At 42.8% G+C, this 23,953-nt stretch overlaps 2 long non-coding RNA genes across 2 annotated transcripts in view; one reads left to right on the top strand and one right to left on the bottom strand.

Moving 5' to 3' along the window:
- The window catches only part of CFAP20DC-DT (CFAP20DC divergent transcript), a 724,471-nt gene that overhangs the window by 150,955 nt on the left and 549,563 nt on the right, over positions 1-23,953 (bottom strand). The window lies entirely within an intron of this gene.
- Positions 1,859-23,060, top strand: LOC339902 (hCG1813818). Its single transcript, NR_149028.1, has 4 exons — positions 1,859-1,953; positions 18,599-18,712; positions 20,093-20,193; positions 22,744-23,060. It is a non-coding gene; the product is annotated as an hCG1813818 (long non-coding RNA).

Genomic DNA, 23,953 nt, shown 5'->3' with positions numbered 1-23,953 from the left:
AGGAAAGCAGAAGGCCCATGAAATGACAGTCAGCTCAAAGGCATGGTGCACTTCTCCATTTAGTTATTCATTTGTTTGTTCAGTCCACAAAACCCTAATACGTATAATTTACTAAATGCTGAAGATATAAAGGTATGAAGCGAGTTTACATTTTAACATCTAGTATGTGCTAACCCATCGACAAATTAAAATATTAAGATGGTAATAAAAGGCATAAAGGGAAATGCATGGTACTAGGGGATTCCTGGTCCTGTTTTAGGGGGCATGAAAAACCTCCCTGCAGATGACAGGGGAGCTAAGAGCTGAAGGCAAAGGTGGAGTTGAGGGTTGGGGAAGGGAACAGCCCCAGGAAAGGTCCTTGAGCAGGAGAAATCCCAGCCTGTTGCAAAATCTGAAGGAAAGTAGGAGTGGCCAGAGTGCAGGGGGACAGGTCAAGTCTCCCAGCAAGGCAAGGCTGGGAAGAAGACGGGCAGCCAGAATGCCAGTCCCAGCACTTTCCCTGGAGTAGCTCATCTGAGGCTTCCAACTACCCTTCAAGGCAGGTACTATTATGCTTTTTTTTTTCTTTCAGAGAAGAAACATGTCATCTAGAGTGAGGATTTCAATTTTGTCTATGCTCACACAGCCAGTAAATGAAGGATTCAAACCCAGATACTCTAGCTCTGAGCCTCCACTATTGACAACCAGGCTACACTGCCAAGACACAAGGAACTCAAGACACCGCAGAAGTTTGTCTTCAGAGCCTGGACCACTAATCACAGTCCTATGTTGCCTCACGGCTAATTCTAGGTGCCATACAGGAAAGTGTTGCTCTTCACTGGGAAGAGGATGTACTGACTTGGCTAAGGGAGCCATGCCCTCATCAGGGCTCGAAAGACACGAAAGACTTGCTGCTGACACAGTGCCTGGAGAATAAATGACTTCAGACATCTTTACACACTCTGCCCACCCTCTGACCCTGATGCCAATGTCAGAGGAAGATCAATCAGACATGAACAGAGTGACTGTGTCTTTCCCTGGTCCTTGGCAAGTTACTTGTGTGCATGGAGCAGTTCTCATTATCCCTATTTTTCTGGTAGAAAGATCAATATCTCGGATGTTTTCCAATTGGAAACCAAATTCAAACAGAAAGATTCTTCCGAACATAAACAATATGGCTCAACTAGGGACTTTTTTTCCCTCAAGAAGTATATGTTTTTCCCAAGTCTTTTTTCACCATGTGGCCTGCCAACATTTTGCTTGTATAACAAGGAAACTGGGTCCCTGCTTAGAGTCTGATGCTTGAGATGGCAGTGACTTCTGCCAACCACCTTTGCCAAAGATATTCTATTAGTCTTGGTTGTTTATTGGCTAAGGGAGAGCTCCCTTCATGGGCATCTGGCAAGGTAGAGGGGTAACAAACAAACAAACAAACAAAAATTAGAGCATGCTACTTCTGCTGTCATCTGGCACTCAGAACCTATCATGTAGGCAGCCCCTGGCATCACATTTTGGCAAAGAGACTGGCATCCCATTGGCTAGAGTGCTGGAAGCCAATGCCTCTCTTCCATCACCATCTCACTCATTCTCCTTCCTCTTCTATCTCTCTCCTTTCTTTTTTTTTTTTTTTTTTTTTTTTTTTGGTACCAGTAGACCACCAGCTGGACTCTCAGACCGGTGCTTAAATTTCTTCTTTTGTTTCTGCAGATAAGAAATAAATATTTTTCTATGCAAGTGGCCTCTGGCCTTTTCTGGTAGGAAGCTTCCTCCAGCTATAGACACCTCAAAGCAGCTGGCCCAGAGTCTCATGCTAGGCCGAGCCTCCTTTTCAGCACTTAACAGAAACATTCTTGAACTTGCCTTTTGGACCTTGGAACATCTAACTGCCCTTGGCCTGTTTCTATGAAGCTCCCTGGTGAGAAGAGTTTGTCTTTTCCTTTGCACCCCGAAGCCCCTGCCTGGGCTAAAAACGTGGTGAGTTATGGTGTTTTTCTCTGCTGCATGTTAGAGCAGGGGCCCTCACCCCTTCCTTTGGCCAGGGCTGTCACTGGGGACCTCAAAGCCTCAGCTTTGTTTCTCATGCCTGCTGATCTGATGATATTCAGAAGTGCGGATGCTTTCTACTTTGGTGGTAAGACTACATCATCTTAAAATGGATAAAGTTGACTTTTAAAAAATTCCTTGTTTTTCTTTTCCTCCCATTTCTGACCATTTCTTCTCTAGGTACAAAGGGGTTAAGAGTGGGGATGAGGGGTACTGGCAAGGAAAAAACTGTTCCAATGTCCTTTTTCTCCCCCTTCTAGGCTTCTGAGTCTCCCTATTCTTCCCTAAAAATTTCCCAGAGGGGGCTGAGCCCATTGCCTCTTATCAAAGTGAGGAGGGGAGAATTCCTGCTTGATAGTTAACTCAGAGATTATACAAATTTTAAGAGATGCTCCCTTGGGATTCTGAAGCGTGTATTCAAGTAAACATGAAGCTCTGTCCAAATATAGGCCATATTTTGGGGTCGGGATATCCTCCCTGCTGTCTGGTTATTTGGTCTTCAGCCATGTTAGAAATCTATGTAATTGGGTCGCTTTACTCTCTCCTTCCACTGCTGAACCAAGGGAATAAGGCAGACCTTGGAAGACATTGCATGGCGCTGTGGTGAGTTTAATGCTGGATCTAATCAGTTTAGGTTAATACTTAGTATAACAAAATATTTGCAAGAGCAATACCTCTTGCTCCCTGGAAGCTAGTGGAGTACAGAAATAAGATTCTATCAAGTCACACACTTCTTTTGCTGACAAGTTTCCTGCCCTTTAATGCCAAGGGGTAGACATTACACTGGAGGGTACAGATAAATAGTTACAAAGCTGATTCTGGCACTTGAACTAAGGAATCACATTCATAACTTTAAGTCATGCTTATCTATGTATGTTTGTAACTTTTAATTAAAAATAAAGCTAAATAAAGTGAAAAGACAACCTATAGAATGGAAAAAAATATGTGCAATTGGAAACTAAATTAGAACATATGTCTAATGCCTGCTTAAGAGTTTAACATCCCGAATAGATAAAGAACTCCTGTAACTCAACAATAAGAAGACAATCTAACTAAAAAATGGGCAAAAGACTTGTACAGGTATTTCCTCAAAGAACACAGACATATGGCCAATAAACACACCAGATAGTATAACATCATTATTACTCATTAGGGAAATGCAAATCAAAACTCCAATGAGATACCACTTTACACCTACTAGGGGTGGCTAAAATTAAAAAAAAATTAAGAGATGTTGACTAGAATGTGGAAAAATTGGAACCACTGTACATTACTGGTGGGAATGTAAAATAGTGCAGCCACTGTGGAAAAGAGTTTGATGATTCTTCAAAAAGCTAAACAAAGAATTACATTATGAAACAGACATTTTATTACTGGGTATATATTCAAAATAACTAAAAGTAGGGACTCAGATATTTGTATGCCAATGTGCATTGCAGCATTATACACAATTGCCAAAAGGTGAAAACAACCCAAGTGTCCATCAACAGATGAGTGGATAAACAAAATGTGGCATGTCTATACGATGGAATATTATTCAGGTGTAAAAAGAAACAAAGTTTTGAAACATGCTAAAACAAGGATGAACCTTGAAAACATTATGCTAAGTGAAATACACTAGACACAAAAGAACAAATATTAGATGACTCCTAGATATTTATAAGAAATATCTAGAATGGTAAATTAATAGAGACATAAAATAAAATAGAGGTTATCAGGGACAGCGGAGAGGAAGAAATGGTGAGTTATTGCTTAATGGATTCAGAGATTCTGTTTGGGTGGATGAGAAAGTTTTGGAAATAGAAAGTGCTGATGGTAGTACAACATTGTGAATGTACCTAATACCACTGAATTGTATGCTTAAAAATGATTAAAATGGGCTGTGTGTGGTGGCTCACACCTGTAATCTCAGCATTTTGGGAGGCAGAGGTGGGTGGATCACAAAGTGAAGAGATCAAGACCATCCTAGCCAATATAGTGAAACCCCGTCTCTACTGAAAATATAAAAATTAGCTGGGCATGGTGGCATGCACCTGTAGCCCCAGGTACTCAGGAGGCTGAGGCAGGAGAATTGTTTGAACCTGGGAAGTGGAGGCTGCAGTGATCCGAGATTGTGCCACTGCACTCCAGCCTGGCTACACAGCGAGACTCCATCTCAAAAAAAAAAAAAAATTAAAATGGGAAATTTTGTTATATATATTTTTCTCTAATGAAAAACATCATGAGAAAAAAATAAGACAAAACAGAGCTAAGCAAATATTTTCACAATTAAACATCCTCTGCAGTTCCTTCAGCTAAATAACAGAATTCAAAACCAGATCATCTAACTTTTAGTTCAGTGCTAAATCCATTACAACAGTTAGCCTCATTTCTGTGACCTTAAATTACATATTCATTGATTCATGCAAATCATTTTTTTCATTCTTCAGACATTTATAGAATGCCTAGTAAGTGCTCAGTGATCAAAAACTGGTGGTGAGGGGTGAATGGAAGGAACAGATGTCAACATGTGGTCTATCTATGTCCGGTTCTGTCCCCAAAGGCTTTTTATGGGCTGTATGAGTTAAGCTTTCCTTCAATGTTATGAATCATGATCATCCCCATTTTAGGACTGAGGACCCGAGGCTAAGGCAGGTTAAGTGGACTTGCCCACGGTGCCTCTAGCAAGTAGCAGAATTGGGATTGGAGCCTAGATCTGCCAGAATCAAAGTTTTCCATGCCTCATGCTGTTTTTACTCTTTCTCTTTCTCTCAAATTTCCATGGATTCTTGGCTCTCCCCATTGTTGTTAGGAACCACAGATAGCTTCCGAAAGGAAAAGAAGCCCCTTGCTGATGGCTCTGAAGTTCAGGGTCGATCAAGGTTGCCTGTGTTCTGGGTGAGAGTGAGGATCAGATCTGGCAGTGATTGCACTGCAGCTGGAGGAGCCCCCTGACCTACCGTGGGGGGTTTGTGTGCAAGAATTACAAATTGTTGGTGTCAGGCAGAGCAAATAAAAAAGCATCTGTAACAGGCAAGGGGAGCTGCAGGCCCCCAAGGCCAGGATCCAAGCAAGCAGCAGGTGTGCCCTCCGCTTTCCACAGGTTGCCAGACAAGACAGCAGTAGGTTCTGCCAAAGGGTTGGCTCTGTGTATTCATTAGCAGCACATTCCTGAACCTCTGCAAGCTCCTTCTGGGCTGCGAAATGATCAAGGGACCACAGAGGGACCCTGCAGACCAGGCCCATCCAATTGCAGGCCTTTTTTGCTACAATGAGCAGAGAGGTTGAGGAGAGTAGGGAGCAGGATGAGATAAGGAAAAGTAGAGGTGATTCAGACCCATGCCAAGGGCCAAGAGCAAGTCTCTTCTTGCCTTCTGCCCAGCTGTGCCACCTTAAATTCTACCTCTCTACTGCTTCTTTTGAGACTGCATTGAAGAATTTCTGTTTTCCCCTGCAAGTGCACAAGACTTGTTCCTGCATTCATAAGAGCCTTATTATCTCTGCATTTTGGGAACGCGTATATTTCCAGATCAGCGAGAGAAGACGATGAGCAACTCAGGAAATGAGCACTTCCACTTACCACTGAATCTTCACTTCATTACAAAACAGTATGCCCTGCCTTCATTTACTCCATCACATGAGGTTGTAACATACCACACGGTCTCCTGCTCATTAATACTGCTAAGGAGCATTTGCAAAGTATTTGAAGTCAGCCCGCTCTGTCTTTCTCTCTGCTCGTTCCCTGTGGTGCCGTCCAGTTTCTGGGATGAAGCTGAATCAATAAACATGTTCTGTTTGTTGAGACTTTCTGTCTTCCAATTAGAAGATAGAGGCAAAATATGCCGCTTTATTATATAGAGACAGCAGTCAATTTTGGCTCGATGCTGAGTGGGAAATGCTGATTTTTCAGATGTTTTGTAACAGAAACAAACAAAGCATCACTTGGAAAGCAACAGGATTTTTCTTAGCCAAACTGTACACAAATGGGTTCTTTCAGCAGCCCAAGGAAGGAGGAAGCAAGTAGGAATGCAGCCCTACGGGACTTCAGCTGGCCACTCACTCACGCTTGTGTGTGTGATCCAACGTGAAGCGGCAGCACAGAAACCTGTCAGACGGCATCCTGTCTCCTAGTTATTAAAAACTCTGCTTTGCCCAGGCGAGTTCTCAAATCCCTATGCAGTCTGGATCTTTGGCATGCGGGAGGCAAAGTGCCGAGATCCATATACCACCATACGGGCTGCTACTCATGAGCCTTTGCTCTAAAAGCTGAAAATGTAAGTCCTCTGGGGTCTTCACATTTTTGAACACCACACACAGGCCTTCTTGTTTCCTGGCAGACACTGCTTTGGACTCTTTGGGACTAAAAACTTTTCAACTAAAATCTTGAAGTCGGTTCAGGAATGTCTTATGCTTGTGGTTCATTGCTAACATCAATATATTGAGAAAGAGAATAGGGTGGTGAGAGAGCAGGAGGAGCAAGAGAAAGGGAAAGAGAGAAGGGAAGAAAGAATGGGAGGGAGTGACGGAGGGAAGGAAGAGAAAACACACTAGTCTGAGAGTCAGAAGACTTAGATTTTACTTACAGCTCTGCTCATTGTTAACCTCAGTAACACAGGTCAAGACTCTCCTTTTTTTGGATGGATAATAATTTAAAAATCTGATAAGGTTTTATCACAGATGTGTTAACATGAGGTCAAATTAGAAGATGAGTATGAAGGCGCTTTGTTGCCAGTGTAACCCAAATAAAACAGGGCCACCTTGAGGCTAGCCTAAGCATAAAGCTATTCAACCACATGTACACTCTCCAAAGTGTCTTGAATAGCAATGTACGAATAGGCGCCCTGGCTCATGCCTGTAACCCCAACACTTTGGGAGGCCAAGGTGGGAAGACGGCTTGAGGTCAGGAGTTCAAGATCAGCTTGGGCAACAAAGCAAGACCCTATCTCTACAATAATGATAATAATAATAATAATAATAATTAGCTGGGCATGGTGGTGTGTGCACCACCACATGGTAGTCTCAGCTACTCCAGAGGCTGAGGTGGGAGGATGGCTTGGGCCCTGGAGTTTGAGGCTACAGTGAGTTATGATCATGCCACTGCACTCCGGCCTGGGTGATAGAGCAAGACCCTGTCACCAAAAAAAAAAAAAAAAAAAAAAAAAAAAAACCCAAAAACCAAAACAACCCAAAAATGGCAATTTCCTTAAAGAGCTTTATAGACACATCTCCCTTTTCCCAAGGTCCCTTTCTTCATGGTACTTATTCAATTCTCTCTCCTATCTTCAAGGAGTTCAGCCCATACTTATCACATCTTTCACTTTCTTCTTCTCTTTAATCTCTTCCTCCACCTTCCTAAATAATTTTATCCCCAAGTCGATTGACTCACATGCTTAGTTGTGCAGAGGAATCTACTTTTCCTTCCCTTACCTTCTTCAACTCAGCCTTCCTACTCATTACCCTGATCTGTCCAACAGAGATCCAGTAGCTGAGCTGTGACCACATGGTATTCTCCTCAAAAGCTGGGAGCATGGAAAAATAGTTACATATATTTTGTTGTTGTAACTGGTTAAAACTTTAATAAGGGATTGCCATCTAACCAAATCTGATTATACAGTGTCTCAATAGCACAAAATCAGTATCATTGTTCTCCAAGTTTATTTGATCATTTATTAATAACTTATCATGGGTCAGACACTCTATAAAGAGGATGCTATAGCCTTAGAGGTATAGACTTCTATGTCATAGAAAACTAAATTAAAGGTGTCACCCTGGACCCTCAAGAAACAGATTCCAAGAGTTATCCTGAACCCTCAAGAAATAGATCTTTAGAGTTCCCAGGAGTCTTAGCCTCATATGTTTTTATTGCTTCACAATTCCATTAGTATCACTCAGCATGTAAAGAAAAGAGACTAAGGACAGTTGGATGAACTTACCCACATCCTCATAGTAAGTGGTAGAGTTGAGAGTTGAATCTAGATGTTAGACTTCAAAACCTTGATGGCTTTTTGGTGTTTAAATTATAGCCCCTACATTTTGTCTCTGTCTCTTTATATCTACTTCTTCCTTAAGCAGTCCTACAACTAATCTCGTATCCACTACAGGGTAGGCCTTACATGAAGATGGATTTGGCTCTGGGGATTGATTTGATGGGCTGCCCTAGCCACAGTTTAGCTCCTTGTAAACTACAAAAGCCCCTGAAATGACCGTAACTCATGTCTTTCCATTGGGTTATGCAGGATCATAAAACACAAAGAACTCTTGCCCAACTTTTCACACAGCCATCACCAGCTGATCACAGCTGGCTTTCCTGCCAAGCTCAGGCAAGGCACAGGGATCCTTTTCATCAGAGTACTCTAGGGGGCCACTGCCAATGATATGAGATGGCAGTTGAGAAGAAACCTGTTGGCCAAGAGCTAAGACACTGACTGCCCAGTGAAAATGCACATAAGTTACCTGGCAAGAAGAACTTATTTTGATATGGTTAATGACTCCCTCTTTAGGCATCCTTCCTTCTCTTGGCTTCTGAGACATCACATTTGCAATATTTTCCTCTCACTGTCTGTCTCATATTCCCCTGCTGGTTCTTCCTTTTTGCAGTGTTGGTACCTCAGGATGAAGCTTTGGGCTCCTTTTGCCTCTCTATATAAATTCCTCCCATCCCCCCAGGGATCTCACCAAGTCCTGTACTTTAAATATCTATGTCAATAGCTCTCATATTCTGTGTCTCCAAATCTAGATTTACTCCTTAAGCCCAGATTTGGAAGTCTATATATATCTCAATCTTAATGTAAGAAAAGCCTTCTTGGTTTTCTTTCCCAACTTATGCCTTCCTCATTTCAGTGAAAAGCACTATTATCTTTCCAGTGGTTCAAGCCAAATTTTCTTTCACTTACCCACACAACCACATCAAATCCAGAAACAATTCCCATTTAGTTTACTCCATGATCTATTACAAATCCATCTACTGTCTCTTCTCTTTCTCTTCAACCACTACATTAGTGCAAATCAGGAACATCTTCTACCTGGACCCTATAATAACATCCTAACTGACCTCCCTACTGGAATTCTTGCCCCTCTGATTCCAAACTCCATACAGCTGCCAGAGTAAACTTTTAAAAATGTAAAGTGTAGGCTGGGCGTGGTGGCTCATGCCTGTAATCTCAGCGCTTTGGGAGGCCAAGGTGGGCGGATCACGAGGTCAGGAGTTCGAGATCAGCCTGATCAACATGATGAAACCCCGTCCCTACTAAAAATACAAAAATTAGCTGGGTGTGGTAGCAGGAGCCTGTAGTCCCAGCTACTCAGGAGGCTGAGGCAGGAGAGTCACTTGAATCCAGGAGGCGGAAGTTGCAGTGAGCCAAGATTGCGCCACTGCACTCCAGCCTGGGCGACAGAGTGAGACTTTGTCTCAAAAAAAAAAAAAAAAATGTACAGTGTACACATCAACCCCTTCTATAAATCCTGCAATGGAACCCCTTCACACTTAGAATAAAATCTAAACTCCTTGCCCTGGCTTTTTGAAATTTTATGTATTTTTCTTTCCTGTACCTTTGACTTCAACCTCCCATATAAGTCTCTTCCTTTCAACATTATATTCTTACCACACTAATTTTCCTTCTTAGACAAGCCAAGTTTGTTCCTGCTTCAGGGTCTTTGCACTGTCTGTCCCCTCTGCCTGCAGTATTCTTCCCCTGGATCTTCATAAGGAGGTTCCCTCTTATCATTCATGCATCAGCTTCAGCATTACTGCATCTGAGAACGTTTTCCTGACCGTTTAGTCTAAAGTAGCCATATGTATTAGTTTTCTGGTGCTGCTATAACAAATTACCACAAGATGGGTGGCTTAAACAAAGAAATTTATTCTTTCACAATTCTAGAGACCAGAAATGAGATCCCAAAGTGTCAGCAGTGCCACACTCTTTCAGCATTTTGAATATATCATCCTATTCTCTCCTGGGCTGCAAAGTTTCTGCTGAAAAAGCTGCTGTTAATCTAATAGGGATTCCCTTGTGTGTGGCTTGATGCTTTCCTTTTGTAGCTTTTAGAATTCTCTCTTTGACTTTTGATAAATTAATTATAATATGCCTCAGAGAGTTTTTTTTTAACTGAATCTAATTGAGGACTTCTGATCCTGCTGGATCTGGATGTTCATGTCTCTCTCAAGACTGGTAAATTTTCAGCTATTATTTTGTTAAATAGGGTTTTCGCTTTTCTTGATCCCATCTCCCTCTGACACCCTTATAATGTAAGTATTTGTTTGCTTGATAGTGTCCCACAAGTCCTGTATACTTTATTTTTTTATTCTTATTTCCTTATTCCACTCTAACTAGTTTGCTTCAAAAGACCTGTCTTTAAGTTCAGAAAGTCTTTCTTCTGATGGATCTAGTCTTTTGTCGAAGTTCTCAATTGTATTTTTTATTTCATTCACTGAATTCTTCAGCTCCAAGATTTCTGTTTGGTTCTTTCTTATAATATCTCTTTGTTGCATTTCTCATTCAGATCATAATTTTTATTTCATTGAATTTATCTACATTCTTTTGTATCTCATTGATTTTTCTTAAGATCATTGAGTTTCTTATGAAGCATTTTGCAAATATTTTCTCTGGAGTCTGCTACTGGAGATTTATTGTGTTCCTTTGGAGGTGGCATGTTTCCTTGCTTTTTCATGTTTCTTTTATCCCTACATTGATGTCTGCACATCTTGTGGAAAACTTGCTTTTTACAATTAGATGGAGTAGTTTTGTAGGGAGAGACTTTTTCTCTGTAGACAGATTCTTGATGACAGTTGGGTATGGAACATGGGCTTTGGTTCTGGGTGGCTCAGTAGCATGGTCTTTGCATCATTTCTTCAGCTGTAATCTTCATCAGCAATGTCTGTGATTGCCTCAGTGCCAAAGGCTGTGGGAGTTTGTGATGGCAGTGGCATGGTCTTACTGAGGGCAAGGGCACTGGTTTGGTTTTCAAGTCAGGCATGTTCAGGCATGGCAGGCAGGCTGGCTGTGCAGCAATGTCTCTGGGGAGGTGGGATCACCACTGAGATGGCTGTCAGGCTTGGCACAGGAACACATGAGCAGGGTAGGATGGCCCGCTGTTCAGTGGCTTCCCCACTGTGCAGATCTGCCAGTTTTCTGGTGGGAATTATGCTACATCAGTTTGGACACCAGGATCTTGGTCATTCCACTGGGCCTAGGCTTCACATAACCAGGATCATGGTGATGTAGGCACTGGTGTGAATATGATGAAATGATGGCAGAGCCTCAAGAATGGAGAGAGCAGTGGTACTGGCCCCCAGGTCAGGACACATTGTAGCAGTGGGTCTGGTTTCAAGATGGCACCATGCTGTAGCAGCTTAGGTCATAGGATTGGTAGGGGGTGATGCATGACCTGGGCTCCTACTCTGGGGCAATGCAGCTGCATGAACTCCTAGCAACTTTCTTAATTGGATTCAGAGCCCGTGAAGACTGCGGGATGCTCCTATAGCAAAGACCACTGGCATCTGTAGTGGCTATAGGAACTGCTATAGGTCTCCAGCTTATCTTTTCCCTGGAAGAAGAAATCCACCATGTCTCCATGCTGATCCCAGCAGGGGAGACAATGTGGTAGATGCAAGATGATTTTCTCCTTCTTTTATGGTGCTATTTTGGGCGTCCGTGCTCCACTAGGATTTTGCCACTCCTTTAGGGCTCTCCAACATACTTCCTCAGTCACTGTAGTCAAACTATAGTTGTTTATTTATTGTTTTGGTCCCTTTCTGTGGGGGGGACGAATGCCAGGCAACTCTAGTTAGCCATCTTGCCAATGTGAGCTCCCAGATCTGCCCGTCTTGAAAGGATGCATGTGATTGCATTTAGGGCCGCCAGTACAATCTGGGATAATCTCCTTCCTCCAAGATTCTTAATTACATCTTGTTGCCATATAAGGTAATATGCACAGATTCCAGGGGTCAGGACTTAGATATCCTTTTGGAGATCATCATTCAGCTTTACCATGCAGGACATATTGCCTGCTTTTAGCTCTCTTTAACACATACCATTATTGTTCTCATTTATCTCTATGTCAACTTGTTAGTTTAATTCCTGTCTCTCCACTTGAATATAACAGCCATGAAGGCAAGGACTTTCCTTGCCTTGAAATCCCTGATATTGAGAATAAGCATAGAGCAGGCACCAAAAAGTATTTTTCTTTTTTCTTTTTTTTTTTTTTTTTGAGATGGAGTCTCACTCTGTCGCCCAGGCTAGAGTGCAGTGGCGCGATCTTGGCTCACTGCAAGCTCCACCTCCCAGGTTATGCCCTTCTCCTGCCTCAGCTTCCCAAGTAGCTGGGACTACAGGCACCCGCCACCATGCCCAGTTAACTTTTTGTATTTTTTAGTAGAGACAGGGTTTCACCGTGTTAGCCAGGACGGTCCCGTTCTCCTGACCTCGTGATCTGCCCGCCTCGGCCTCCCAAAGTGCTGGGATTACAGGCGTGAGCCACCGTGCCCGGCCCAAAAAGTATTTTTCAATGACTAAGTTGTGGATTACATTAAGCCAGTAGTTAAGTTTATTTATTTACTTGTTTGTTTGCTTCACAAAAACCCTTTGTTCAAATCTAGTGCAGGAACCAGACTGGTAGACCAAGGTCAGTTAGAGGCTGAGCTCTTCCGTTAAAAGTCGGGGTGGGAAGATGGGAGCCCTGGGCCTCAGGTCTGGTCTTCCTTCTCACAATGAGCACCAGAGATTGGAGGAATTGTCTGGAAAACACACTTTTGATGTCTTAGCTCAAACTGGTTGCTAGGGAGAACTAGAGTACAGAGGAAATTGGAGGAAATGGGACACTGAACAAACATTGATAAGTGAGCTGGTACAGGCAGCAAAGGTAGTGGTGTTCTGGGCATGCCAGGGGTGGCCTGTAATTGGCCAGGGAGGAGGTACTATAGATGCTAGAGGACTGAAAAGTTATCTTTGTCTGACCCTCCATTTGTCCATGGATACCCAATATTACATGGTTATCTTTCCCAAAATCTATCCTTCTGCTCTGAAAAGAGGGAAGCTGAGTTTAGGGTTTCATTTGACCCTCAGTGAAGACCGGGGGAGGTTAAAGAGGGTAGTGCTTTAAAGCACAGGCCCTGGAATCAGACAGACCCAGGAACCAATCCAGGATCTGCTGCTACTTTGGCTGCATCATCTTGAACTGCTGCTTACCCTCACCAAACCTTATTTTCCCCATCTGTAAAATGGGGATAATAATAATGCCTACCTCAAAGGTGTTGAGTATCGTGAGATAATTCACATTAAGTGCTTAGTACACCATCAATACATAGGCATAGCTTGCAACAAATTGCAATGATTACCATTTATTAAGTATTCATATTATTTGAGTATTTGGGTTTGCAGATGTAAATCTCAGGTTGTTCTTGAGTAGTTTGTCATTTCCATCTCCTGATCCAAGAGTATTTGCTAGAGCAAAATGACCTTTGAACCAGGCCAGAGAGTAGTTAATTCTTTCATTTATTTATTTGCTCATTCATCCAATTAATCAGAAAATATTTAATAAGTAGCTACAATGACTCAGAAATTGTTCTAGCTGAAAAGGATAAATAAGTATGTAAGACAAATTTCCTGTGAGGTCTTCTCTGTTGCTACAAGGGTCTGCCACCAATAAAGGCCACCAACATTGCAGAGATGTCATCCTAGCCTGCTATGATTTCCTAATGGTAATAATATATCAAAGGCTCATTGCCACATGGTCTTTTATGATGTCATGGTGATGATGTTGTTGTTGATGATGATGATGATAATGATGATACTATTAGAAGGATTCTACTATTTGTAGAATCCTTTTTTTTTTTTTTTTTTTTTTTTTTTTTTTTTTTTTTGAGATGGAGTCTCGCTCTGTCCCCCAGGCTGGAGTACAGTGGCATGATCTCGGCTGACTGCAAGCTCCGCCTCCCAGGTTCACACCATTCTCCTGCCTCAGCCTCCTGAGTAGCTGGGACTACAGGTGCCCACCACCACACCTGGCTAATTTTTTGTCATTTTTGGTAGAGATGGGGTTTCACCGTGTTAGCTAGGATGGTCTCGCTTTCTTGACCCCATGATCCACCCGCCTCGGCCTCCCAAAGTGCTGGGATTACAGGCGTGAGCCACTGCGCTCGGCCTTGTAGAATCCTTTCTAGGTCCACCATGCGTGTTATTTTGTACTGATCACTTTATTTAAATTCTCTCATGAACCTATGAGCTAAGTTCTGTTATGATTCTCCTTGGGAGATAAAGAAAATGAAATTCAGAGATATTATAAAACATATGCCAAGATATTGCTCCAGAGTGGCTCAGCTGGGATTTGATTTGATTCCAGAGACCCTGGTCTCAATCCCATGCTCTGCTCCCTGCTCTGTGGGTTCCCATGAGCCCTTCAATAATTATATGTTAGACTCCTGCTGGGGCTGCAAGGAGGACTGTGCTATGTAGCCAAGCTGGTCTGCCCACGGCTGGCTGATGCCCATGAAGCAGGACCTCCTGACCTGAGCTTGGCACTGCTGTGCCCAGGCTGACTGGCTGCTGACTTTGCTTTCTTGTAGAGGATTGTTTCCTCAGGATTCTTCATGAGAATAAGAACCTGCTCCCCTGCCATCAAGGCTATAGAACCTCTAGGGAGAGAAAGGAAATGATTTTACAGTGTATTAGTTGTGAGATCTTGGGCATGTAATTTTGCTTCTCTGCGCCTCACATTCCTCATCTGTGAAAGGGAACTAATAATAAAACCTACTGCACAGGTGGTTGGAAGGACTAATGGAGGAAAGCATCTGGCACAATGCCTGACATGCAAAGAGAGCCAAAATGCTAGTTAGAAAGGAAAGGAGGGAAGGAAAGAAGGGAGGGAGGGAGAGACTTAAAATCCAGGCTGATTATCATCTGTCCTTCACCAAGCTCCTTCTCTCTGGACCTCAGTATCCCCATTCATCAAATGTTAGAACTTCTGAAAAGTACTGACCTCCCAAATTCTTCAAGCCCTAACCTGCCTCCTACCATCGCTGCCTCTGGAAGTTTCTGGATCTCTGTAGAACAAAAAATCCCATTAAATGAGCACAGATGAGTCCCTTTCTGACTGCCATTGCCAAGTCTGTATCTCAGAGTCAGTAACTCAGGATGATTTCTGGATGAAAAGAAGCTCCATGAAATCAAATATCTTTCGAGAGAGAGAGATGACTAAAAGGCACCACACATCCCCAACCCCACCTGCAGCGTGATCCTCAGAGCATCTGGCGAAAGCCCCTTAGAAGAGCTGGCTGGATCCTCGTGAACCCCACCAGCTGCCTTTCCCAGATGGACTCACACTGCAGGTCTGCTCAGATCCTGACTTTCATTATCAGAGGAAAAGGGTTTGCCCATGAATGGCCATGCTGGGCCTGCTCCTTATTTCAGATTGATCAGAAAAGTCCCACTATTGCAGTGACACAGGCTGGCTGGCTCCATAAGGGAGTTGGGAATAATGAACCCTCTGTGCCCGCTTGGGGATGCTTGCCAGCCTGCCCAGCCAGGAACCTTTTGTTGCAAATGAAAAATTATTTAAAAGCAGGACTGAAAGGCTTACACACCTGGAAGTAAAAGCAAGAAAGGCAGAGGTGTCCATTTGTCCTCACAGTATGCTGCTTATTTCCATTTCCCTTGGATCCAGGAAATAAGCTTTTCTCTTAGTTCTCTTTCTAAGGCTTTCTACAAACACTCACACATCACTCGCTCTGTTCTGATCTGCTCACACTGGTTCAACAGATACCAGGCTGCACCAGAGCTGGGTGTGGTATTCCTGCTCTTGAGGAGCTCTTATTCCTGGAGAATGAGGAGAAGGTAATGACAGCATAGTGAAGGCATACTGAGCACCTGCTGTATGCTGTCAGCCCTGTATGAGGATTCCATCATTTACTCCTTCCTCAGCCTGTGGAATAGGCACCATATTCATCTGGGACAAATGAGGCCCCTTTGCCCAAGATCATACCACTGATACATTGTAAAGCTGACATCAAACACAAAAGGGTAAAGGTCCAGGCAGAAGGACAACTCTTAGAAATAATATAATGTGGTACAACTTTTTAAAAAGGGCCATTTGATGGGAGTATTAAGGGGCTCACAAATGCAAAAATCAACAGAGCAATTCCAATTTGGGGCTGCATCCCAAGGTAATAATCAGATGAGGGTACTGAGCCTAAGTGTGTTGATTATGATGATGTTTATAATTGTGAACCATGGTGCACGTCCTGGATATTGATTGATGGGAACTACTATATTGTCTTTAATAATAATGTGAATGTGTATTTACTCACCTAGAAATAAGTTTCTGACATACTAAGGGAAAATAAATGGGCTACCGAAGTATGTATCATGTGATCCGATTATGTGCAAACATATAAAGATTCCCATGTGTCATTTACATAGAACATGTCTAAAAGTTTTTACATGCTGATTTTTTAAACAGTGGTTATTTCCAGATGAAATTATGCATGATTAAAAAATTTCTTTTCTTCCTTTTTTTCCTTAAACATTTTTACTTACAAAATACACATGACACGCAGCATATTAGCTTGTTTTTGTTTTTGTTTTTTTGGAGACAGGGTCTCACTCTGTCACCCAGGCTGGAGTTCAGTGGCACGATCTTGGCTCACTGAAACCTCCACTCCCTGGGTTCAAGTGATTTTCCTGCCTCAGCCTCCTGAGTAGCTGGGACTACAGGCGTGTGCCACTATGCCCAGCTAATTTTTGTATTTTTAGCAGAGATACGGTTTCACCATGTTTTGGCCAGGCTGGTCTCGAACTCCTGGCTTCAAGTGATCCACCTGCCTCGACTTCCCAAAGTGCTGGGATTACAAGTGTGAGCCACTGCACCTGGCCCATCGTATTAACCATTTTGAAATGCAGAGTTCAGCAATCTTAAGTCCAGTCATGTGTCATAACATGGGAATATATTCTGAGAAATGTGTTGTTATGGGATATCATCATTGTGGGAACATCAGAGTGCACTTACACAAGTCTAGATGGTATAGCCTACAACACACCTATGCTAGATGGGATGGTCTACTGCTCCTAGGCTACAAACCTCTACAGCATGTTGCTATACTGAATACTGTAGGCAACTGTAACACAACGGCATTTGTGTATCTCGGCATATCTAAATATAGAAAAGGTATATGGTATTATAGTCTTATGAGATCACCTTTGTATATGCAGTTCGTTGCTGACTGCAACACTATTATGTAGTTTGTGACAGCACTTTCACATTATTGTGCTCCCAATCTCCAGAACTCCTTTCATCTTGCAAAACTAAAACTCTAAACCCATTAGATAACTCCCTGTCTTCACCTCCCTGCAAGCCCTGGAAACCACCTGCTTTTAATGAATTTGTCTATTCTAGATTTATCATATAAAGGGAATCATAAACTATCTTTTCTGTGACTGGTTTATTACACTCAGCATAATGTCCTCAAAGTTCATCCATGTTGTAGCCTGTGTCAGAATTTTTTTTAAGGCAGAATAATATTCCATTGTATGTGTACACCACAATTTATCCAATTATTCCTCAATGGACAACTGCATCACTTCCACAGTTTTAGATATTGTGACTTTATTTTTTATCTTTACTTTCTATTTATTCTATAGGAAATCAATCTACTCACATTTTCAATGTTAGAACCAGGACAGAAGTATGCATAGGGTACATAGGTCTCTGCAAATGATGAGAGATTTCTAGGAAAACAATATAAAGTGGTGGTCAAGAAGCCCTTCTTTGGAATCACACAAACCTGGACTTGAATTTCCATGCCACTATGCATTACTTATGTGGCTGTGGAAAAATTATTTAGCTTCTTAAAATGTTTTTTTGTTTGTTTGTTTGAAAATCTGAAATCCCGGCAAGCTTTATCATGATGTTATAAAGTCCAAAGCCTGGGCCAGCACACAGTCAGCACTCATAAATGGAGTGGGGAGGAGATTGGTTGCTTTTGAATTCTTCATATATTCAGGTACCCTCCTGCCTGTCCCAGAAACTTTTCATAGGCTGCCCGCCTCCCCGCCCCCGGCCTCGGACACTCTTTCCTCTCCTCTGTACTGAATTAACCCCTTTCTGCCTTCATACTTCTGCTCAATTCAGTGTGCCCCCCAAGAAGATGTCCCTGGTCTCCTTGATTGTTTTAACCCTGTCCCCCATTATGTATGCTCATCATAAGATAGACTTGCCTTCCTAACAGCTGAGATTCCACCTGTCCCTGTATTTCTGTTTCCCACTCCCAAATTGTATCTGGCATAAAGCAAATAATGCAAAAATATTTTTACAAGTGGATGCATGAATGAATGAACACTCCAGGAAATTAAAGATGATCTCAATTCTCAAAGTGGGGCTCTGGCATTTGCCTGGGCAGCTGATGCTGCCACCCTCCTCTCCCTCTCCTGCCTTTCTCCGTCTCTTCATCCCAGCACTCCACCTTCTGTACCCCTGGCCCCAGCAACCACTCAGCCCTCAATCTTCCATGTGGAGCCTGCAGAGAAAGTAGGAGGAAGGAAACTACAAGCACTGCTAGAGTTTAAAAAAGTGCTCACCCGAAATTGCACAATTCATCCCATGGGCTCAGCAGGAATGCGGCATTTGGAGAAATTACACCTCTGAGCTGCCAGGATATATTCAAACAGCCAAGAACAGAAGTTGGCCCAACTGGGACGCATCCGTGGAGCAGCAAATATGCACAGTGAGCTCGCTGGCAAAGCATTTTTATTTCTCAGGGGAATGTCCAAGAATCTTTGCCTATCTATGGGTTCCTTCTTCTCTTCGGTTCTAGGGTAATTTTTATCCAAGAGTTTCCAAAGCCAGTACTGGGGAGGGGAGAAAGAAAAAGAGCTATAGATGATAATCAAAGCTTTGACTTCTAATATTCCAAAAGTTGCTGGTTGTTTTTTTTGTGGGGAAGAGGAAGATAAGAACATGAGTTCTGGAATTTCCCTATCAAATCCCAGCTCTGACACTTACTAGTTGCATAACCACGGGCAAGTTTCCTTACCTCTCTGTGCCTCATTTTCCTCATCTATAAAATGGGGATGATAATCTACCCTTCTTCACAGGGTTAGCTTGAAGATCCACAAAGCACATGGAAGTACTTAGACAAGTGTCTTGTATGTAGTAAGTGCTCAATAAATATAAGCTTCCTTTGATAAGGACAGAATTGGCAGGACATTTGGCTGGAGCAGTGGCTCTTGGATATTCAAATTTCAGTCTCACAAAATTAAAAAGTTCCCTCCCTCTCATATTGAGCATTTTGTTTTGCATATGAAAGGTACTAGAACCATCAACTATAACATCTTAATCTAAAAATAAAGGCTAACTGAAAGCCTCAAATGTAGGATGGACATGAACTTAAAAAAAACATGTTTAGCTTTATGATAAACTAAAAATAAACAGTAAAAACATTGCTGTTTGTTGAAGCTATACTGATCATGAGCGAGATAAATTAAGCTGTCTGGCAGCTCCCGCCTCCTCAGTGGCTCCTCCCTGCTATCCCCTGTTCCCACAATCCTCTCTATCCCATCTCAGCACTGGTCACTTTGCAGTGTCATTGCCTCTTCAGTTCTTTACCTCACTCCTCTACTCCCCACATATACATCAACTCCTACCTAGAGGGTAACCTCCTTGAGGGCAGGGCCTGTGGGTTATCATAGCTGTGTTTCCAGCACCTTGCACACAATAATTGTTCAAAGTATTTGAGAAATGAAGAAATAACCCACAGTCCTCATTTCCAGTTGGAAACCACACATCATATGCTGCACACAGATAGCCTCTCACATATCTGCAGGCACTGTTCCCCTCCTCCGGTATTCCTCTTCCTCCATAGTGCCTGTGGCTTGCATCCCTAAATGCATTCTGCTCTCATTTACCCCCTCAGCAAGGAGGTCTCTCCTGGCCATGGTATTTAGAAAGCCTCTTCCTCCCAGCCTTCATCAGTCTCTCTCATACCCTACAATCACCTGCAGTCTGCTGCATGTTTCTTTGCTCACTTGTGTATTTTCAGTCTCTCCACTGGAATGTAAACCTCAGGTGGGCAGGGACTTTGACTTGTTCTCTGTTGCGGTTCCAGCTCCTGGCAGTCATGCAAGCAAGATGGTCAACGTCAGATACACAAGGCTGGCTTGAGCAGTGTTCACTGGGGAAAATTCATGGACAGGGGAGCAGAAACAGGTACGTAGATACTCATTGCCCATTGCATTCTGGAGCAGCACTCAGAGCCACAGCAATTTAGAGCTCAGACCCCGGTAGGAGGACCCTGACTTACAGGCTATGTGGCTTTTAAGCTGCTGTGGTCTTGTGATATAGTAAGAAATATGTATTTGATTCCTGACCCAGTTCCAAAGACACAGCTCCTAAGACCTTCATATATAGAGATACCAGGAGAATCTTTTGTTCTGGTATTGGGTCTTTGACCCCAGTTCCTGATGCAGAGATCCTAAGACCACCTTTGTAATTTTCAGAGTGATAGGAAGCATCTAACACAGAGCCCCTAAATCCCTTAGAATTTTCTGGGTTATAGGAGCATCTTTTGTTCTGATGAGGTGACTCTCGGTTGGCTCCTGGATAGCCTCAGGATTGGGGTTGGTTGCTAGGGAAACCAACCATGTTTATTAAGGGGTTGGAATTTTCAGCCCCAAACCCTGACATCTGGGGAGGGGAAAGGATTGAAAGTTGAGTTGATCACCAATAGCCAGTGGTTTGATCAATCATGCCTACTTAACAAAGTCTCCATGAAACCCAAAAGAACAGGGAGCTTACAGAAAGCTGAGCATGTGGAAGTTCCTGGAGAGCAGCTTATCCAGAGTGGGTATGGAAGCTCCAGGCCCCTTCCCATATACTTTGCCCTATATATCCCCTCAATCTGGCTATTCATATCTATATCCTTTACTCTGTCATTAATTATAAGCCAGTAAACCCAAGTAAAGTGTTTCCCTGAGTTCACTAAGCCATCCCAACAAATTAAATGAACCGAAGGAGGGTGTCATGAGAACCCCTGATTTATAGCTGGTCAATCAGAAGTTTAGGTGACAACCTAGTACTTGCTATTGGCATCTGAAGTGGGGGACAGTCTTGTGGGACTGAGCCCATAATCTGTGGAATCTGATGATATCTCCCAGTAGAAAATGTCAGAATTGAGTTATAGGACACATAGTTGGTGTCTACTGGATAACTACCTGGTGTGTGGGAACCTGCTCCCCAAGCCCCCTGCAAAACACACATGTGATATCAGAAGTGTTGTGCTGAGAAACGTGTGAAAATGGAGAGAGAAAAAAAAATTAGTTTTTTCATTTAAAGCCAAATAGTTAGGGAAGCACTCACCCCTCCCCTGGCATAACCTGGGGCCAGAATACAGTAGCAATATGGTAAGTTGGAGTCTCAGTGCCAATCCCTAAAACTGGCTCAGGGTTTATAGCTCCTTCCCTGATCTGGAAGCTTAATTTCAAGCCTTACAGTTGTGGATCTATAATAAGAAAAGCTTGAGACCGAATTTGTCACTTCATAGTTCCTGCTTGAAGAAGAAACCATCTCTTACCTGGCATAATGGGTGGCAATGGTGGTGGCAGTGGCAGCAAGGGTTGCTATCCAAGACTTGGAATGCAGCAGGATTGCTTTTTTTTTTTTTTTTTTTTTTTTTTTTAACAGAGTCTCTCTCTGTCGCCCAGGCTGGAGTGCAGTGGCGTGATCTCGGCTCACTGCAAGCTCTGCCTCCAGGGTTCATGCCATTCTCCTGCCTCAGCCTCCCAAGTAGCTGGGACTACAGGCACCCGCCACCATGCCCGGCTAATTTTTTGTATTTTTAGTAGAGACGGGGTTTCACCGTGTTAGCCATGTTAGCCAGGATGGTCTCTATCTTCTGACCTTGTGATCAGCCCGCCTTGGCTTCCCAAAGTGCTGGGATTACAGGCGTGAGCCACCGCACCTGGCCCCAGGATTGCTTCTTAAAGCACTCGGCAGTGGCCAGTTTCTACAGAGTACTGGCAGCTGCTGTGATTTGAATGTGTTCCCCAAATTTTACATGTTGGAAACTTAATCCCCAAAGCCTCAATGTTGAGAGGTCAGACTTTTAAGTGGTGATTAGGTATGAGGGCTCCGCTCTCATAAATGGATTAATACCATTATTGCAGGAGTCAGTTAGTTGTTGCTGCAGTGGGTTAGTTGGGTTAGTTATTGCTGGAGTAGATTAGTTATTACAGGAGTGGGTTAGTTACTGCTGAAGCAGGCTCCTTATAAAAGGATGCATTTGGTTCCCCTTGGCCTCTCATCCTCTCTTTGCTCTTCCAACATGATATGATGCAGCAAGAAGGGCCTCACCAGATGCAACCCCTTGATCTTGAACTTCCCAGTCTCCAGAATCATGAGCCAAAAAAAAAAATCCATTGTTTTTAAATTACCCAGTTTTTGGTATTCTATTATAGCAACAGAAAACACAGAGGCCAATCCTCTTTTTGGAAGGTCTGCCTATGGGTATTGGTCTGAGACAAGTTAACAGTTACCAATCACTAGCATATAATACGTATTCAATAAATGTGTTTAATGAACATATGAATGACTTTTGCCCATTTACTGCAAGATTAAATAATCATTAGAAAAAAACAATTGACTTTTATTGAGCATTAACCAAAGAGAAACTCAGCTCTATTTCTCTGGCTTCCTTTTGTCTGTGCACATACCATGCTTGTTCTTGCCTGCCTGTCTTCCTCTCTTGCTCTTATTTTCTAGAAGAAAAACCACCCACCCCAATGTCTTGCACACTGCAACAACTCTGTGAACACTGGTCATTATTCTACTGTTGTTATTGGTGCTCTTTACTGGCCAAAGCTCAGTGGGAGGACTACTATCTAACACAAGTGCCCTGCAGGACAGAAAGAACAAGAGTGCTAGAGCTTTTGTGCATCTGGGCCATTTTTTCATTTGACATATGAAGAATCTAAGAACCTGCAAGGTGGAAGTGACCTGTTCAAATAGCAGCAAAGTCAAAAGCAGATGTAGCTCTCTATCTCTGAGCCTCTAATAAAATTAATCTAAATAGTTGTCAATTAGCAGTTCACAGCTGTATTTTGTTTAATATACCTAGTTTAGGTCTCTAGTAATTATTTTTCTCTGGAGAATTAGTTGCCCCTTCTAGCAGGGCCAGGAACGTTCCAATTTTCCACAGCCTACTCCACGTCTTACTCCATCTCACATTGGCCTGCTTCCCTCCCTCATGTATCTGCCTGCCACCTGAGGTATTTGAGTATTCAAACCACATCTATATGCCTGTGCTTAGAAATTCAATTAGCTCAAGACTAGTCCTTGAAGGCTGACCTCCAAACTAAAGGTCAGCCCCCTTCAAAATTCCAAGGAAACTGGTCATTGCCTAGTGCTTAAGGCAACTGATCTGAGTGATCCCCAGTCCTGGGCCAGATTCTACACACGTACTCTCATCATGCTGGTTTTTAAATGTACCACTTCATATATAATAATCATATTTTCTTTAGTAGATTCTCGGGCCCTAAGGTGAGGTTATGCTTTTACATCTCTTGGTATTTTGCGTATCACCTGGCTTTATAACAATCACACTTCTGCACCCTCAGAAGCACAATGAAGGACAAATTCCCAGGAATCATCTACAGAATTTGGGTTCTGGCTGTCCTGGGCAGGGACTAGGAATGGCATATGGTCATTCTGTACAATTCTGCCACTGCAGATCCAGAAACTGAACTTTGAAAAACACAAGGTGCTGGAGCTCTGGAAGAGGCTCAATCAAGACATGAGGACTGATTTGTCCCTACCCGAGCATCTCCACCCTGCAGATGTTTTTCTTTTTGCCTGCTTAGTGTGTTTAAGAAAGAAAATTGAATTATCACCAATATTTTAAAGACAGGAAGATGTCATAAGCCAGATTTCAGACTCCCTTTGAAAAAGATCCGATCATGTAAAGGCCCTGGGC

The sequence above is a fragment of the Homo sapiens genome, chromosome 3 (genome assembly GCF_000001405.40).
Source record: "Homo sapiens chromosome 3, GRCh38.p14 Primary Assembly".
Lineage (NCBI taxonomy): Eukaryota > Metazoa > Chordata > Mammalia > Primates > Hominidae > Homo > Homo sapiens.
Note: the sequence above shows the minus strand (reverse complement) of the source record. Positions and strands in the feature narration are given on the sequence as shown.